At 41.1% G+C, this 20,201-nt stretch overlaps 2 long non-coding RNA genes across 6 annotated transcripts in view, besides 1 other annotated feature; one reads left to right on the forward strand and one right to left on the reverse strand.

Annotated features, from left to right (window-relative positions):
• The window catches only part of LOC643339 (uncharacterized), a 373,979-nt gene that overhangs the window by 86,609 nt on the left and 267,169 nt on the right, over window positions 1-20,201 (reverse strand). The window lies entirely within an intron of this gene.
• On the forward strand, window positions 114-18,248 carry LOC105369908 (uncharacterized). 5 transcript variants are annotated; one of them, NR_188216.1, is made up of 6 exons: window positions 114-262; window positions 974-1,078; window positions 2,073-2,358; window positions 5,749-5,870; window positions 8,967-9,037; window positions 16,942-18,248. It is a non-coding gene; the product is annotated as an uncharacterized LOC105369908 (long non-coding RNA). The 5 variants fall into 5 exon arrangements; NR_188217.1 differs by lacking the exon at window positions 2,073-2,358 and adding an exon at window positions 15,956-16,048; NR_188218.1 differs by lacking the exon at window positions 2,073-2,358.
• Window positions 7,967-8,216: an enhancer, noted in NCBI's record as "active region_6762". NCBI's record gives its function as "activates an Ori minimal core promoter by ATAC-STARR-seq in GM12878 lymphoblastoid cells {active_cell/tissue: GM12878}" and the evidence as "EXISTENCE:reporter gene assay evidence [ECO:0000049][PMID:35858748]".

Raw genomic sequence — 20,201 nt, forward strand, 5'->3', positions numbered from 1 at the left:
AGCAGAGTAGGCTGCCTGCGTGATCTCAAGACAACACACTGTGCTAGAATGAGTCTTACAGCAAGAGTTCAAAGTTCAAATTCTAATTCTAGAACTCGTTGAGTGTAAAATTCACAGCAAGTCATAGAACCTCTTGGAACCCCAGTTTCCACATCTGGAAGAAGGGGCAGAATAGTATCAAAAATGCTTCACTCCCAGGAATGTGGTGAGCATAAAATTAAATAATGAAAAAGTCAACTATAAAGCACTAAATAAATATAAGGTAAAACTATTAATAAAATCTCATTTAGTTTAATATTTCTGCTAAATCTTTTTATTTTCCTATAATCTTTTCCAAGTATTTGTTCTTCTGCAGGTAGAATTCTGTGGGTTGAAACCAGACTATAAAAATCTGTGTGTTTTTTTTTTTTTTTGTCACTCAGACTATCTGCTATGAAGAATGTTTTCCCTTAGTTAAGGTAACAGCTATAAATGTTCAGTTTGCCCCTGAGTCATTATCTGAGTCATGATTCTGTATGAGTCAAGAAATCTAAGAAATATAGAAATTATCTATTTATCCCCTTTCTTTTCTTTGTATAAATATCTCTAGATATAACCAATAAATAACTTGCCTCTATCTTGGGTTTCTTAATATTTTAAAGAGACTGTTGTAGAGGAATAGGGTAATGGGAGATTATCTTCATCAAGAAAGAGCCTGTGCATATAACCTGTACACACACACACACACACACACTCACACACACACACACAAAATCAACAAAACCCTATGCTCCAGCCAGAAAAACACCTTCTTGCCACTAGGCCCCTATTAGTGCTGGTCCCTCCACCTGGAATTCCTGTTCCTCTGATTTCTAACTGTTCAATTATACCTAGAATTCAGGGTTTTGTTATAATCTCAAACTTTCAGTGAGATGGATTGAGTGGTTCTTTGCCCAGTGAAAAATCTTTAAGGCCAATATTCCTTTTTTTGCAGATGGTGAATCTGACAGAGGAAGAATTAAATGACTTGTTCAAGGTCACCTTTGAGGAATTTGCAGGAAGTTTAACTTATGTATATTTTTCCCCTGTAGTACCCCAGGTATATCTTTTCAAATCATCCTCGTCTGAACCAATTTATGCTCCCCTTACCCATCAGGTTCTCCTGTAACACATATATAATACCACATGTTGCCTTGCACTATAGTTGCTTGTGAATAGATACCTCCCTTCCCAGAGAGTAGGTCCCACAGAAGAGTAACTATCTTATTCTCCAAATCCTTTAGAGCTTTTAGCACTGAGTACATACCCAGGTATCACAAATTTTGTATTTGTTGAATTGGAGTGGAACATCTCAAGGATATTTTTCTATTGCCTTTCTATGAATAAGCTCAGTTTTGCATGAGTCCACTTTGATTCTCACCTAAATAAGATCATGTAGAAACACCAAAAGCACCAGTGTAGATGCAAGAGATGGTGAAGACCTGAGGCCTTCACTGCTGCCTCCTGCCAGCCCTGCAGTTCTCAAAGAACAAGGGTCGTTGGGCAATCCTTCCAGACAGCTTCTGGGAGTGACCCGTCCTTGACACATTGAGTTAGCTGTGCTCTGAAGGCCCAAAGCGATTCGAAGCATGATTTTAATGACTGTCATTACTTCTGCCATTACTACCACCCAATAAAAACCATCATCAGCTTGATGTGATTATCCCTCGGTTGTGCAGTGCCTCTGGACTCCAGCAAGCAACAGAGCATATGGTCTTTGCCAATAGCATTATTCATCAATGGAGGATAAAATTCACAGTAGCACCCAGCTTGTCACAGTGGGGAATGGCTTTGGGCAAGTCACAGCTTCAGCTCAGCTTAGCTCTTTCCAAGATGTGGGCTCTTATTCACAATGCCCTTCATAAAAGTGAAAATGAAACACATGCTGAATGGGATTTTTAGAACAATAAGAACCCTATAATTAGGAAGCAATAGCTAAAATTATATTATCCCTGAGAGCAAAGCATAGTAACAAGTTAATGCAATTACTAATCCAGCTTTTTCCGAGGTAGAAGCAAACCATGCAATTATATCCTTAGTCTATATTTTTTCAGGGGCCTAATGACAGGAAAACAAATGAAGTGGATCCCCATCTTCCACCCTTGCCTCCGCTAAGCCATCAGAGGACAAGTTTCCCACCCCACTCTCTCCAATTTCACTTGAAAAATAAAACAGGCCTCCAGCTGTGAAATGGATTATGCTCTACAACTATGTACCTGGAATAGAAGCCATCATTCTTCATGAAGTTTGCTGAGAATTATGTATCGCAGCCTGGCAGCTTCCTGTTCCCTCGTTAGCCTGCATATCCCACTTAACGAAAGATTCGCCATGCACTGACTTGTATGTGACTCACAGTGTGCACAGTATGCACTGACTGTGACCTGTCCCCAAATGAACACAGTACCAGTCTAACGTACCACCTTACCTATGGCTCTCTCCCATACACACCCAATCCACTGCAGGCAAATGATCTACCCACAATCTCCCAAACACAGTCTTCACTGTCTGGTCACTGCTCCTTTACACGTGGCATTCACTCTGCTTGCAGAGGCATTTTAGAGTGGATATCTAAAGAAGGAGATTTCTCCCAAGCATGCACATAGGAGGGCACTGGTCTGATGCTCTGATTGACAGTTCACTACTGCAAAGAGGACAGATGAGAAAGCAGCTCAGCTCTTTGATGCTAAGGAAAAAACACAGAACCTCACTTATCTATATGTAATCACAAACTTTAGTATCCATCAGTACCAAGCCAAAATAGTTCCTGTTTGGACATACATTATTAGAAATTAACAACAAAATTTAGTAAATGGTTGGCCAGTTCTGAACGCAGAATAGCCACCTCTGAGTGAGCATTTTGATCAATCTAACTCACACATTTCTGGTTCAACAAAGTTATTAGATGAGAAGACCCAAAACGGTGTGTAAATGGGACACAGATTTATAAACAGTTAATTTATAATCATATATGGCAAATTAACCTGTATGTCACTAATGTGCCACCAATCATAAGACATGCCATCATTTAATCTGTCATGAAGAAGTGAAAAACTCAATTAAACGGTGACATCATGCTTCCTGATTAGAAATGTTCATTTTTTTGTTATGCTAAATTTACATAAATACATATTTATTTAAACAACACGGGGCCACAATATGAACATCTATGCCCAAGTTTCTGCATGCCCAGCAATGACTGCCACCCTGACAATGGTGACTGATATCATCAAGTGTAACATGCATCCTGATTCAAGTTGTTCAACTGTGACACAACGGGTACCTTAGCACTGATGAAATATGGTACCCGCCTGCGTCACATGAGCTTCTCATGATCCAGCAGCCTCTCCTCACCTGACACTGGCTCTAGTCCCCAGTAATGACTCTGATCCTGTTTGTCCTAGGAGTCTTCTCTTCCTTTGTTTCCCACTTCCCTCACTGGGCTACTCAGTAACCAGTTAGCTGTTAAGGCGCAAGCCTTTTTTTATTTTAATTTTTATTTTTTCCAAAACTCCTCAACAATTGCAATTGCCACTTTGTTTCTACTATTATTGCCCTTGACTTATTTCTTTATTTATTTAAGTTTCTTTTGTTTTTAAACAAGAAGGCTGGGTACAGTGGCTCGTGCAGATAATCCCAGCAATTTGGGAGGCCGAGGCAGGTGGCTCACTGGAGGTCCTGAGTTCAAGACCAGCCTGGCCAACATGGCAAAACCCTGTCTCTACTAAAAATACAAAAATTACCTAGAGGTGGTGGCACACGCCTGTAATCCCAGCTACTCACATGGCTGAGGCAGGAGAATTGCTTGAACCTGGGCAGCAGAGGTTGCAGTGAACCAAGATCGTGCCACTGTACTCCAGCCTGGGCAACAGAGCGAGACCCTGTCCAAAAAAAAAAAAAAAATCTCAAGGCTGGGCATGGTGGCTCACGCCTATAATCCCAGTACTTTGGGAGTCACAGTACTCAGGATCATCTGAGGTCAGGAGTTGAATACCAGCCTGGCCAACGTGATGAAACCTCGTCTCTACTAAAAATACAAAAATCAGCCGTGCATGGTGGCATATGCCTGTAATCCCAGCTACTTGGGAGGCTGACACAGGAGAATTGCTTCAACCTGGGAGACGGAAGTTGCAGTGAGCCGAGATTACGCCACTGCACTCCAGCCTGAGCAACAAAGTGAGACTCCATCTGAAAAAAAAAAAAAAAAAAAAAACCAAGAGAATCTTCCATCATCAATTGAAAAACAGTAACTGCCCTTATTCTCACCCAGGAGGAGAGAATGAAAAAATGTTATCATTTTAATATCTTTATAATTTTAGTACCATGTACATAACATGAAGTTTACCATTTAATCATTTTTATTACAACAAAATATTTTTTAATTTTTCTGCTATTGTTGTCATATACTTTACTTCCGTGCATGTTATAAACACCATGATACATTGCTATAATTTTTCCCCAAGAGGCTTTCAGAGGTCTGCAATGAGTTAGGGTTGAAAAAACAGTGATCCAATGTGCTAGTTCAAAGACTGCCTCTCCTTGGCTTCCAGGAAGCCTTCTAAACCTACCTTTTCTATTAGCCTACCTTTTTTTTTTCTTTCCAATCTTTTAAAATTCTATTACAGATGTACAGCAAGATCAAAGGGAACACCTTGTCCCTGGGGCTTTAGCTACTGGCTGGAAGAGAAGCATAGAAATGTCTTTAACTCTTTCCAGTGGATATCACTAAGGTTATCCAATCATCCCATGACCACTCGGCCAGAGGGGGTGAGATCACCCCACCACATCCTTTACATGCACACACACACACAAACACACACACACACACAAACACACACACACCTTTCAGGCTTACTGTTGCCTTTTTATTTACTTTGCTTCACCTTGGAAGAGACTGTTAATGCTCATGCTAACCTGATTTCACCTGTATAAAAATGTCCAGGGACATGTGGGCATTCTGTGATTTGTCCTGGTTCTAAATATCCCTGAGGGTGGTCCTGACCCACATAAAAACAAGTCTGCTTCAGAGCCAGCTTCAAAGCCTACCTCTCTGATCCCCAAACCTCAGGTGATCGCACTGTCCTCTGGCCAGTGATGGTTCTTAGAGTCTGTACTTCCTATTTGATATTTATACGCAATGGCGTGCTGGTAAATGTTTAGCACCTGGCTCTGGGGGTGGAGAGGTAGGAGTCTGGGTTCGGCGGGTTTATAGATTCAATTTCTGTGGTGTAAACACTCCCACCATGGCTATTTCAAGCCACCAGTATGATGTCACTGACCACAGTCAGGAAGAGACGCAGAGTGGCATATTGTTATGTAGTATTTCTACCACACAGATATAATACACATAAATAACTTCAAGATCAGAGATAATACTGAAAGGTAATAAAACAATTAGTAATGAGTTTTGACTATTTATTATCTTTGTTATTAGTATACTTTATTTAATTATAACTTTATATAATTTAATTTCTAATAATGGCTGTGTTTAATAACCAGCTCACAAAACTGGAAAACTTAGCAATTGGCTTTTGCAAGCCAGTAGGAGCAGCTCCAGCCCACAAAAGTAATAAAGTATATGCTATCTTGTATTATTATTTTAAATCTTTTATGTCCCCAACTAAATTATATACTTCAGATTATGAAGTTATTTGTCTTAAATACTTCTTTTTATTTACCATGCTGCTAAACACAAATAGGTAATTAACTTCTTTTTTTTTTTTTTTTTTTGAGATGGAGTCTCACTCTGTCGCCCAGGCTGGAGTGCAGTGGCACCATCTCGGCTCACTGCAACTTCCGCCTCCCAGGTTCAAGAGATCCTCCTGCCTCAGCCCCACTAGTAGCTGGGATTACAGGTACGTGCCACCATGCCTGGCTAATTTTTGTAGTTTTAATAGAGATGGGGTTTCACCATGTTGGCCAAGCTGGTCTTGAACTCCTGACCTCAGGTGATCCACCTGCCTCGGCCTCCCAAAGTGTTGGGATTACAGGCGTGAGCCACTGAGCCCAGCTGGTAATTAACTTCTAACATTAATAACGTTTACTCATTGTAAATGTTTTTGAGAGGCCACTAAAATTCACCAATAACAAAATTTAGACTGGGCCCCAAATCTGACCCTTCCTGAATCATATCTTTAACCTAGAAAGTTTATGCACTAAAAAAATTTATCAAAAAAGATATATTGGCTGAGTGAGGTGGCTCACCCCTCTAATCCCAGCACTTTGGGAGGCCGAGGCTAGTGGATTGCTTGAGCCTAGGAGTTTGTGACCAGCCTAGGCAACATGGCAAAACCCTGTCTCTACTAAAAATAAATGAAAAAAAAAAAAAAAGATGTATTACTGACAGTGTAATTGAATCATTTCTGCTACCAGCTATAAGATTGCCTACCATTAAGAGCAGCGGTGACCAGCTTTGTTATCAATGCTGTTAGGAACATTGATTAACTTTCAACCCCAACAAGCAAGCAAGCCAACTCCTATGACTGCTGAAGTGAGCGCTCTAAAAGAGAGAGTATTCTTGGAGGAGGGAGCCCCGTGGTGGGTAAACAAACTGAGAAACTTAGCTAACCAAACTTGCAAGAATGATCAGTCTCTTTATAATTTACGGTTACCAAGAATTGGCATGTAACCCAAAATGTCAACTTATTATCAAGGAGATACTATCATTATCCTACTGATGGAATATCTTCCCAGTAACAATGATATTGGTATTCATTAACCAGGATTCTTCCTTCCCAGAAACAAGGAATCAGATTAGCAATGAGAAGGATATTTGTTGTGTATCAACATGGAGAATTTAAAGGTCTTGAAGCATATATCCTCTAGATATGAAAAATCCAAACGAACTATCTCTCTTCCACAGTGGAGTGTATCTATTTGGTGCAAAAGTAATTGCAGTTTTTGCCATTAAAAGCAATGGCAAAAACAGCAATTACTTTTGCACCAGCCTAGTATCTAATCCCCAGACTATTAATATCTACCAAAGTGTGTCTGTCATCTATGAAAATTACTGGTAAAGTCTGTGAAAATTTTCACTGAAGGTCAGCAAAGGCACTATTATCTCATGCTGGAGAAGTTACAAGTGAATACTAGTACTAGTAACTAGTATTCATTAATACTAGTTAGCTTTGTACACTACAGTTCCATGGCAGAGACAGCTTACTGAAAATATGCCCCAGTTCAGGGTTGGCAAATACATAGCACATGTGCTGTCCCCATCCCTTCCCATACTCTTGGCAGACATCACTAATTGATCACTACACTCTTCCTTCATTGAGTCTTACAGTTCTTCCCAACACAGCTCTATATGCAGCACTACCAATCCTGGCCCTGAGCTCCAGAAGAAGAATTAGGAAGCAAGGCATGTGCAGGTTTCTCACAGGGAGGTTAAGGACTACATGGAACTAAGTGCATTATTTCAAGTTCATTTTGATAGCTTGCTGTTAGAAGGTTAATGTTGTTGCCTGCTGCTCCTTACTGTAAACCCCTAGGTCCTGACTACCGAGGGGATATCAAGGGCTCTATGTTGGCTTTGGTTTTTCTCCTCTCCAGTGTTACAATATGGAGATGCCTACGTCTTACTTACACAGAACGAATTGTTCACCATCATTTTGTCAGTGAATGTATGTTTTAGAAGTCAGTTACTATGGGTGCAGCACACCAGCATGGCACATGTATACATATGTAACTAACCTGCACATTGTGCACATGTACCCTAAAACTTAAAGTATAATAATAATAATTAAAAAAAAAAAAAATAAAATAAAAAGAAGTCAGTTACATATTTAAGCTTCCCTTGGCTCTTTGCCACTTCCACTAGAGGGCGCCACTGAAAAGGAAAGGAGGTAAAACTAAAGGGAAGCCATTTTTCTCCTTAGTGCCTTTCTGTTGCCTCTGCTCAGCCTTACCATCCAGAAGAGGAAGTCCTCAACCAGTCTGCACAGCCTCTGGTGTACCACGGACATAGCACTCTCCACACAAACAGAAACATCTCTTGCTATACTTGCCCTTCTCCTCTGATCCCAAACACCCTTCATTCATCTCAATCACTTTCCCATGGACTTGTTTTCCTTCTTTCATTAGAACCAGAGCTCCATGAGGGCAAAGCTGGTCTTTGTCTTCCCATACCATTATGGTGCCTGGCACAGAGTAGGTCTTCCATACACAGTTGTGTGTTACAAACCTCATGTGCTGAAAAATCACAAGCCTCTTATTCAAGGTGACAGAAATGGAAACCACACCACCTTATTAAGTCGTAGCAAATTTTCCACAACTTCATAAGCATGTGCTTGGACCCTGCTTTCTAATTCTTCAAACCAGGAAATAACTCCCACATGGGCACTAGTGTTCTGCTCTTCTACACAGTGGAATTAAGCTTCTTAACTCCGCATCTATAAGGTTTGATACAAAAGGAAACTCTATTGTCATTTAACCTGACGTTCTAGCAGTTTTCCTTGAAGTTCTCACAGGAGAACTTTGGGGACAATCCTCTCATCAAAATGATTTCTAGCTGCTACCCTTCTCCCACCTTGAAATTCTTAAAGTTTCTTGCCCCCTTGTTGACTTTAATTATGTTCTTCCAATAGCCTTGTAAAATTGAGCAAGTTCCCGACAGCATTTTGAAAGGCCCTGTGAGCTCCCTGGTCAGCATTTTCAATCTCTAATTATAAATCTGCCTGATGGCTTTCACTTAATACTTCTAAGGTGGGGCTGAGGGTAATTGATGGTTTTGAAGCTAGCTCTTTAATAGCAGCCGTCAATGTATCAAGGCTTAATTTCTTTCATGATCTCAGAGAAGTTGCTGCAAGTGGTGAGGAACTTATGTTATCATCCATCCTAGGAAAACAGAGAGATTTTATTAGAGTGTAGTGAAATATTTATAAGAACATTAGAGCTTGTGGGACTCAAGAACTGACTTCACCTCAAACTTTCATTTGCATACTTGCTTCCAGGGAAATCTATTATGGGATGGCCTGGATATATCACTTTAAAAATCCTGCTTTTAATGAACAAATGAGAAAAGGTGAGTAGTTTTCTCTAGAAAGAACATTTTTCTCACCCACTGTCTTCCCGGAAAGATAAAAATATGCTCAAAATATAGCATAGAAATAAAGGGACTATTTTGAAACAGAGACGAAAACATTTTAACTCAAGAAAGAAACGTCAGTGATGATGGAGGATTTCCTTAACAAGAAGAAGAGGCTTCACTGTTTGTTCACAAAGAAACTCGGTCTCTCAGTCTTTAGTTGTGACTTTCTGTTTTACCGAACTATTATTTTAATTGTGGCTTCTCTGTGTTCTCGTTGCCTTCCCGTAACATTTCCATGTTACTTTGTTGGTACTCATTGTCCTTCTGACAAGCCATGTCAGTCTCTTCCACACTGCCTCTTCCATCAAATGTATACTACAGTACCTTCATTAGCCCATTATAGATGCTATGTTTATTCATTCATTCAACAAACATGTCTTGTGGGTCTACTATTGGCCAGATGTTATGAATACGAACACAGAAAGCAGTCCACACTCTCAAGGAACTTGCAGTTCAGTGAGAACTTGACTGGTTAGAAACCACCTGGCAATGTTACAAACTATATTACATTTTCAAGCTATATTCAAGTTATCAGAGACTGTCATCACTCCTCCAAGCTAGAGATTCTGATTAGCTGACACATTTGCAACACTGATCTAGTGAACAAGATGTAACTATGATTCCTTGACCTGAATTTAGAGGCCTTTAGTACAAAAACAGTGCTGGGAGAGAAAGCTGAGGGAAGACTGGTAGAAGTCTGGAACTTCAGCAAAGAACAGATAAATTCATAGAAAGACAGATCTGCTTTCCTCTAGTTCAGCGGTTCTAGGGTAAGACTTTGTGCAACTGGGAATTAGAATTTTCTGGCAGCAAAGCTGTATCAGCCCTTTACAGGTTTACCTGGAATAATTCACACTCCCTTCCTTAACGTTCTACCTGGCCAAACTATCCAGGCCTAGCATAAACCTCAGAGCCCACAGTGAGAATCATAGTCACCTAGTTGCTCTGACCTACTGCAATAAGAAACCAATGTTTTGTTTTGTTTTGTTTTGTTTTTATGAAGTAAATGATGTTTAATGCCAAAAAGCACACTCGCTTTGGGTAGCTCAAGAGGTGTAAATTCAGACAGAAGCCTACCTCCAAAGTACAGAGCAGAAAAAAGCATTCCCAAAAATGCATTCTGGATTTTACCTCTCCCTCAAGCCCATGCTTAAAGTCAGCATCTGTGTAATGCTAATGATTAGTAAATCAAAAGGCATTTATTTAATGGAGCCGCTTCAGTATGCTGCAGTAAGTTGCCTTCTGCCATATGGCTTTGGGTATGAAATGATTAAACTATAATATCTGGAGCCTCTGTTGCTGGCTATTTAACGGTGTTATGCATCATGAGCTCCGAGATGGCTGCAAATCTGTTTTCAGTTTGCATTCCCAGCAAAAAAGGACTCCTGGCCCAGAGGGATTTAAATCCTCCTCCACTAATCACTAGGGCATACAGAATCACACTGATCCTGCATATAGTTAGTAGCTACAGACAACCCAATCCTAACTCAGGAAAGAGACAGGGACCTTCATTAGGCAGCCATTTCCGGGGTTTAAAAACAAAGAAAATGATAATCTGTAATGGCTAAGAAAGCAAGAAGAAGGGAAGGAAGGCCCAGCACAGAGCCCTTGAGATGAGGACAATTTGGGGCACAGTAAAAAGGCTGCAAACTGGACCTTCTCAAACACTAGTCCATTGGCTGATCATAATCGCTACCTGGCATGGATAGCATCTTCTCTGCCAGGCACTCTGCTAAGCACTTTAACACATGCTACCTAGGGTGGGTGTGGTGGCTCATGCCTGTAATCCCTGCACTTTGGGAGGCTGAGGCAGGAGGATCACTTGAGCCCAGGAATTTGAGACAAGCCTGGGTAACATAGTGAGAACCCATCTCCACAAAAAATAAAAAACAAAAATTAGCAGGGCATCATGGTGCCTACCTACTTAAGAGGCTGAAGTGGGAGGATTGCTTGAGCCTAGGAGGTTGAGGCTGCAGTAAGCTGAGATCGCACCACTGCACTCTGGCCTGGATGACAGAGCAAGACCTTATCTCAAAAACAAAACAATACGAAACAAAAACATATCTCACCTCTCTTAATATTCACAACATCCTCTATCTAGTAGGTACTACTATTGTTCCCATTTTACTGATGACAAAACAGAGGCTCAGAGGACTTAAGCAAGTTGACCGAGGTCACAGCTGGTTAGTGGTGGAGCTGAAGTTCAAATTCAAGTCGGCTAGACTGCAGGGCCAAAATTCTCTAACTACAGTCCTAGTTGAGCATCACCACTAGTTCCTTAGGTAAGAAACACTGATGGTGAATACCACCATCAGGGGATTTTTAGTTTCTTGCTTCTAAATATGATCAGTAAACTATGTATGATCCTCATTGCAATGGGTGGACTTAGTCTTTTTTTTTTTTTTTTGAGACAGAGTCTCGCTCTGTCGCCAGGCTGGAGTGCAGTAGTGCGATCTTGGGTCACTGTAACCTCTGCCTCCCAGGTTCAAGCGATTCCCCTGCCTCAGCCTCCCAAGTAGCTGGAACTACAGGCGGCATGCCACCATGCCTGCCTGGCTAATTTTTTTTTTTTGTATTTTAGTAGAGACAGGGTTTCACCATGTTGGCCAGGATGGTCTTGATCTCCTGACCTTGTGAGCCGCCCACCTTGGCCTCCCAAAGTGCTGAGATTACAGGCATGAGCCACCGCGCCCGGCTGACTTAGTCGTTTTCAACAAATCCTTTTGTTGGCTTCATAAAATCCAAAGTTGAGAAACCATTTCAAGTGCTGTTATATACAGGCACCTGATCCAGCAAACCATGCCTAGTATTTAAATGATCCCAGAACTTAGAAAGGGCAAAAATAGATAGTTATTTCCTGTTCAGAATTCTGCCTCGATATGGCTCATGCCATTTTATGTGCTATCCATTATAGTATTGTAAGTGTTACTAGGAATATAACCCAGTTCCTGTCCCCAAGAATGTTGCCTTTCTACTGGAGAGACTGGAAACAAAGAGGTCAGTTATACTTCAAAGTATAAGCAATTTAATTCCTCAGTGGAATTAAAGTACCATAGACATGGAGAGAATCAAAAGAGTTCAAAAGAAAGCCTTGGCTACTTTGCTATGTGCAAGAGCAACTACCAGAGTAAAATCAGAAAAGAAACTCTTGTTCATCTATTCAACTCAGCATGAATAAATCACTTAAAATCATAATTGTTCTGGAACTTTGGGTGGCTATGGGCAAAAAGTCCTATAGAGAATTTAATAAAACTGTAGGCTTTGTATCAATCAATTCCTTTGGAAATTTTTAGCATAACTCAGGAGTTGGAAACTTCCTTCTTACAAAAGACAGAGGCACTGTCTCACCCTCAGCCAATAGCCTCCTCCCTCATGGGTCCTGCTTCATTAACTTTTAACTGGTGCTTTTACTATTCAGTTTGTACTTTTAAACTTTTAAAGCTTTTATCAGATGTCCTTTGAAACCAAAGCATACCATTAAAACACACACATTTCCAACGTGACCAGATTTTTTTAAAAAGACCTATTCACAAAGACCTTGAGAGGACAAAGAATGTATTTAATGATACCAACTAGCATGGCGCCAGTAATGAATGGTTCTGTTCTGCCAATAATACCCAAAACTAAGGCAATGATTTTTTTGTAAGCCTTGTTTTGCTTTAGAAATTTACAGTAATATACTTTCCCATATATTATCTTATTTCATCCTTCTGTCAACCATAGCGCCAAGCAGAGTTGGTTTTATTATCCCCATTTTAAAATAAGGAAACTATGGTTCAGAGCATTTAAATAACAGAGCCAGGCTTACACATGCAGTAAGCAACAGAGTCAGCGCCAGAATTCCAGCTCTCTGGTTTCCAGCCCATTGCCATTTCAAGTCAGCTATTTATATCAAACAATATAACTTCTATTCTTATGTGATCTCTGCAAGGAAAGGTTGCAAGTCCTATTTGTCTTTGGATCCCTGGCACCTGACTTGGGACAAGTCAGAGTTTATGGTGGACCAGAAATAAAAACACTTTGTTCTAGTGTCTATGCTTTTCAGTCACTGTTACCAGTTACGAGGGTTAGGCTAACACTAAGAAGGCCAAAGTTTCAGGTTTTAAATATGCATGGGACAGTGAGTTTTCTGGTATTCCATGGCCACACAATCTTGCTAACCTATCCCAAAAGGGACCTGGCAGGTTAATGGATAGATTGGTCCAATGTACTCCCCTAATCCATCGTCCATGCTTGAAATCAGGGACTGTCACTCTCACAACTAACTTCTCAGGAAACATCCTTGCCTGTAGTCTCTCCCAGGAGGATTCTGAGGCAGGGCCTTGTAGATTGGTAGCCACACTCTATTCCCAGTGATTCTCCCTGTACCCCCAGCCTGGTATAGCTAATTAGAGCAGAGCTGGTGCTTGGTTCAAAGGCTATGGATGAGCATCCAAAAATCTTTGAGATGTCCTGGCAGAATGATACTTCCCAATGGAAACAGTGATTTACTGGGCCCATGAAATGTTCCTTATCATAAATTCAAAGTGAAGGTGTATGGTAGAAAGGAATTCACCAGGGTGATGAAATGATGTACAACAAACCCCCATGACACATGTTTACCTGTGTAACAAACCTGCATTTATACCCCTGAACTTAAAAGTTAAAAAAAAGTTAAGGAAATAAAAAAGAATATAGACCAAAAAAAAAAAAAAAGGAATTTGAGGAGAAGTAATAGAGAAATTTAAAAATTAAAAGACTTTAAAAAAACAGAGTGAATATAATAGAAAAGAGTAACTTAGGAGTGAGAAGAGAGAGAATCAGAGATGAAGACACATTGACGGTAGACCCCCAGGGGAGGAAACTCAGGGAAGCTTCCCCCCTGGGTTCCAGCCAGGGTTACAGAGCTGATGGCTGTCTGCTGGAACCGAGGTTGGGTTTTCTTCCCTTCAAGACCAGTTGCTCTTTAATCTTTTTGGATCCCAATCACTTTCATCATCTGATGAAAGATATGGGTCCTTGTCTCAGAAAAATGTGTATATGCACATTCAGACCAATGACTGCATTTAATTTCAAGAGACTTCTAGATCCCCTAAACCTGACTTCAGATTCACTAGGGACCCATGGGCCACAGGGCAAGAAATCTTGTTTAAACTATTAGTTCATCTCAGATAGCTATGGTATCATAGCCATCTCTGAAGCTCAGCATTTAGTATGGGGCCTGAAACGTAGCAGGCATTGCATACATCTTGGTAGAATGATTGAGTGAATGAATGAATGAATGAATGAATGAATAAGTAGATGAATGAAATAAATACAACTTGAAGTTTATGTCCTACTCAGCACATTGGGAGCATCCTCTTCTTCTTATGAAATACTGTATTAATGTAAGCTGAGTAGTATGTCAGGAAGGAATGCCTTTACCCAGATGATGTTTAATATATCCATCAACATAATTGATGGGCACACTGTCACCTTCTACATCCGGAGCTAGAAGGCCATTATACCACCAGTTACATGCAAATGAGAACTTGGAATGACATAGCCTAGAAGAACAGCTCTACTTTCCTAGTAGATATAGAAATGAAAAGCAACTATGTTTTCTACCTGAAATATATGTGTAATGATTATTTTGAACTGTAAGCTACTTTTTCCTACTATATAACTTGAAGGCAAGGTTATGTGACATAGCTTTGTACCTGCCCCCCTTGCTCACTGCCAATCTAAGTGTGTTACAGATAGAGAGATTTTAATTAAACTTATCTCATGGACTGTAACGTGGGTAGAGAAGACCTGCTTTTTGGTTTGTCGGGTGATGGGGGAAAATAAAAGGGAATTATAGCAGAATATAATGATCTCAAACTTTAAGTATTGAAGTCATTGTTTCAAACTGATTACATCTAAAAGTAAGAGTCAATTCTGTGAGCTATTTTTTTTATTTCTTAATTCTTGATCATAAAACTCCCATATAGTCCAGGCATAGTGGCTCAAACCTGTAATCTCAGCACTTTGGGAGGCTGAGGCAGGAGGATTGCTTTAGGCCAGGAGTTTGTGACCAACCTGGGTAACATAGCAAGACCTTATCTTTACTAAAAAAAAAAAAAAAAAAATTAGTCAGGAGCGGTGGCATGCACCTGTAGTCCTAGCTACTTGGGAGGCTGAGGCTGGAGGATTTCTTGAGCCTGGGAGATCAAGGGTGCAGTAAGCTGTGATCATGCCACTGCACTCCAGCCTGGGCAACAGAGTGAGACCCTGTCTCAAAAACAAAAAATAAAACCAAAAAGCCTCCTATATAAAAAGCTGTGCTTCAACCTAAATCTTCAATAATTAGAATTGCAAGGTATGGCAAACAATTGCAGTTTTCACGTAGACAGTCTTCCCCTCCTTGTGGATCCCATGCCCTGGTAGCGCAAGAAGAACGAGGGCCCAATTCACTCACAGTGCAAAACTTATGGGGTTCCATTTGTCTCAGTACTTCCTTATGGGTACCAGTGGCATAAAATATTGTATGGTGCTTCCACCCAAGGAGCATGAACATTCTCTCATTAACATATTTAAAGCCCAGTAACAGAAAATCCATACTTGGCATGTGACATAGCTAACCCTAAAAACCTAATTTTTGCTAGCTCTTGAGTCACTTAGCTTACCTAAGCATAACATTTATTTTATCTTTTTTTTTCTTTTTTGATACAGGGTCTTGCTCTGTCACCCAGGCTGGAGTGCAGTGGCGCAATCTAGGCTCACCAGAGCCTCGACCTCCCAGGCTCGAGCTATCCTCCCACCTCAGCCCCTGAGGAGCTAGGACCACAGGTGTGCGCCACCACACCCAGCTTATTTTTGTTTTGTTTTGTTTTGTTTTGTTTTGTTTTGTAGAGATGAGGTTTCACCATGCTGCCCAAGCTGGTCTCCAACTTCTGGGCTCAAGCGGTCTGCCCTCCTTGGCCTCCCAAAGTGCTGGGATTACAGGTATGAGCCACCACGCCCAGTCACATTTATTATTATTATTTTTTAATGTGATTTAGCATATTGCTGCTGTATTCAGCATGTGCCTGGGGTGAAGGACAGTGAAAAAATAATTTTCTAGCTCGGCACAGTGGCTCATGCCTGTAATCCCAGCACTTTGGGAGGCCGAGGCAGGCAGATCACCTGAGGTCAGGAGTTCGAGACTAGCCTGGCCAACATGGCAAAACCCCATCTCTACTAAAAATACAAAAATTAGCTGAGCATGGTGGCACATGCCTGTAATCCTAGCTACTCAGGAGGCTGAGGGAGGAGAATCACTTGAACCCGGGAGGAAGAGGCTGCGGTAAGCCAAAATCACATCACTGTACTCCAGCCCAGGCAACAGAGCAAGCTCCATCTCAAAAAAAAAAAAAAAAAGAATTTCCTGAATACCTTTATGAGGCAAGGACTTTCCAAAGATTATCTTATTGTATTAGTCTGTTCTCATGCTGCTAATAAAGACATACCTGAGACTGAGTAATTTATAAAGGAAAGAGGGTTACTTGACTGAGTTCCACGTGGCTGGGGAGGCCTCAGGACAGTTACAATGACAGTGGAAGGGGAAGCAAGCACATCCTTCTTCACATGGCAGCAGCAAGGAAAAGTGCCAAGCAAAAGGAAAGGGAGAAAAGCCCCTTAAAAAACCACAGGATCTTGTGAGAGCTCACTCACTATCATGAGAACAGCATGAGGGTAAATCCCCCATGATTCAATTACCTCCCACCGGGTCCCTCCCACAATAGGTGAAGATTATGGGAACTACAATTCAAGATGAGATTTGTGGGGACAAAGCCAAACCATATCACTCATCCTAAGGATTTTCTTTTTTCTTTTTTTTTTTTTGACCCATTTTACAGACCAAGAAATTGAGCTACAGTGAGGTCACACAGCCGAGAATCACACAGTGAAGAGTTGGGATTTGAGCCTGGAATACTCTGACCTCAGAGTCTGGATGCTAGTCTCTTGCTGCCTCCCCTGTGTTATGAGGTCATGTCTAAATCACCTCCGTTACTGAAAATGCTTGTGAAAGACCTATTCTGCTGGATAGAGCAGTCACCTTAGTCAAATATGATCCAAATGTTGCCATTAGGTCCTACCCAACCCCATCAAAGATCAGAACCTGGAGGTGTGGTAACTCCCTCCAGTCCAGAAAAAAAAAAAAAAAAACAAACCCAGTAGGTCAGAGTAAGGAGCTGCTCTGAGCCATCAGTGGGAGGGTTAAGTTAAAGAATAGAAAGATGTAACCTGACCCAAAACTTAGCTCTCATTTTCAACAGGCAAGAGCTCCTTGCAGGGTGACCTTGACTCAGACCCACAATTTCATCTTTTTTTTTTGTTTTCTTTTTGGAATGGCAATAACAATGTCTGCCCAGCATCCACCACTTTAAGTTGGTGTTTACAATAGAACTGACACAGCCCTTTAAGCAGGCTCTTGCGTGCAGAGTTAACTCTCCCCTTGCACACAGAGCAGATCGTCAGGCTCCCTCCAGCCCCAGGACCTTTCTCTAACCATAAAAAGGCAATTGTACCTCTAAACCCCAAATCCTTACCTATCCCTGCTGCACCCAGCTGTGCAAGGTGAGTCCTAGGAGGTCACATCCCACATGATTCCACGTTTTCTCATCAGTATCCTTTGCTAGTTCCAGATATTGCAACATCACTACTGTTCAAGATTAGAACTTAAGAACTTGAAAAGGTCAAGAAAGATGTGGTGCCTTGTCTCCACATCAAGTAAACAGTCCGTGGCATTGGCCTCTGACAAATGACAACAGACTCACGGGGCAGCAGTTGAGGAGCTGTGCTTACATGATACTTACCATCCTGAGAAGCATGGATGTATGGGGATACCCATACCCTGGTAACCCAACCCCATGGGCTCAGACAGTGTTGAACACTAGAGAATCTTCATCATTTGCTCAGCTGTCACCACTTCCACAGATGCAAGAAATGGCCGATGGTTCTAGAGGATGACCCCAGCCTCTCAAATAGAAAAGGGAGTGTGTTAGATGTCATCCAGCCAGTCGTATAGAAAGGTGGACTTTAAGAAACTGTGGTTAATGTTGGAAGGAAACATAAGGCAGCTTTTAAAGCTATTTTCATAGTCTTCAAAGAGAAATAAATGACCAGCGCCGACGGCTGCAGACAGCAGGACAGGCAGCCTGACGGAGCTCTGTATTCACTTTATTCTAATCTGTTGGGGGCAGGGGAATTCATGGGTCCACACTCTATGAATCCATGGGTCCACAGACTAATTACATCATACATTGTCTGATTAATCCTCCCGATAATTGATCCTGCTCTGGCATGAGATAGCTGTGTGACCTTGAACCAATCATTAACCTTTGGGCCTGTCCTCTTCTAATGCCAGGGTAAGAATTATCAACATATATGTTGAAATCCCCAAGGATTATGCCAAGGAATGGAACAGAGAGGAAGACAGTGAGACATGTTGAGGGGGTAGAGGACTTGGATAGAGAAGAGTGAGGCAGAGAAGCAGCGTAAATAAGTGGGAGAATATCTAGGGAGAAAAGGAAAGACAAATTCAATAAGCAGTTTCAAAGCATGAGCCTCAAAATAAATGTCTTTCTTCCTTGCAATATTACTGTTTTGTACTGGCTTAAGAAGCTAGACTATCTCCTGTCTGCAGAAAACAGACAGGATAACAGGAAACAGTTTTGGATTCCACAGTGATTATAGCTACTTAAGTTTGACTTACCAAATACTGTCTCAAACAGATGGTATGTAACATTTGATTAAGGGCTTATCCTGCAAGCCCGACAGGGAACATTTCTTTCCCTCTTAATATAGAAAAAATGTAGAGAAGAAGGGAAATAAACTGACGATCTTGCCCATGTTCCATGTATACCAACGTTTATGCCTTTTCTAAAATGAATCTGTGCTTATTATGCAACTCAAGACCAAACTGCATACTGGTGACACCATAGAATTTCAGTAAAAAAGGATATTGAAGATCATCCTATATAAGCCCCTTATTTTATAGGTAAGGAAACAGAGACACAGAAAGATAAGTTTGTTTGCCCATGGTCACACTGTGGCACATCTGGGACCAGGTCTCCTGATTCCAGGTCTGGCATTCACACCAGTCTTTATATGTGCATAATGTTCAATATAGGGAAAACATACAAATCTGTCAGCACCATTACTACTAAATTAGTGCCAATCTGTGATGAGCAATTATCAGAACTTGAAGCTGATGGGTAATGCCATTCTAGTCCAGTTAATGAGCCAAAAGCTTGGTTCTTCAAAACACTTAACATTAATCAGCATTTGGCTTCAGTTTGTGACAAGTGTTTTCAAAACATCACAGACAATTACAATATTCCTAGCTTTGCCTAGTGTAAATACATGATGAAAGAAAGTCAGAATTTCATAAATGACAGTCTCCAGAATGGAAATAATGAGTCCCTTAGAGAAGGTACAATGTGTTCATCTTTCTTGCTAGCCAAAAGTAATTTGGGAACTAACGAGGTCACTGAGAAATTACAAAGTGTGAACTTCTGCTGGGTGAGGATGAAAAGGCCTCTTTTCACAGTAGCAAAGCAGAGCTAGCACGTGAGATCAGCCCCATATGAGTAATGAAGGAGTGACACCAGGCTTCATGCCTCATCGGCCACCCCCACACACACCCCCTTCCCCCTTGGTTACTGGCAATGCCTCAAAGGCGGGGGGCTCCCAAGCATGGAGTACTGAAATGCTCATCTAGGGAAGAAGAAGCATTCCAAGAGGACTTGGGAACTCATTACACAGTAGCCTGATGCTGGGAAAGTAGTAGAAGAAAGAAAACCAGAAAAAAAAAATGGTGGTTTGTACGAAGATGATGTCCTCAGCTCCAAGCTCCACGTTTCCCAGGACGGTTCTTGCAGAATTTTGTCCCCTAGGATTTCTGGAGAAGTTGTCTATGATTGATTGATTGATTGACTTTCTGCAAGCCAAGAACCCAACTGTGGTTAATATTAGGTTTTCTGAAAGACAGAGAATTGCTTAATTAACTGGGCTTAGGATAGTGTTACTCATTAGCTAGTTTTATATTAATAAAAATATGTTAATCAATTAACCAGTCATTGTCGATCACCTGGTTAATAACTAATATTTATTG

The sequence above is a fragment of the Homo sapiens genome, chromosome 12 (assembly GCF_000001405.40).
Source record: "Homo sapiens chromosome 12, GRCh38.p14 Primary Assembly".
Lineage (NCBI taxonomy): Eukaryota > Metazoa > Chordata > Mammalia > Primates > Hominidae > Homo > Homo sapiens.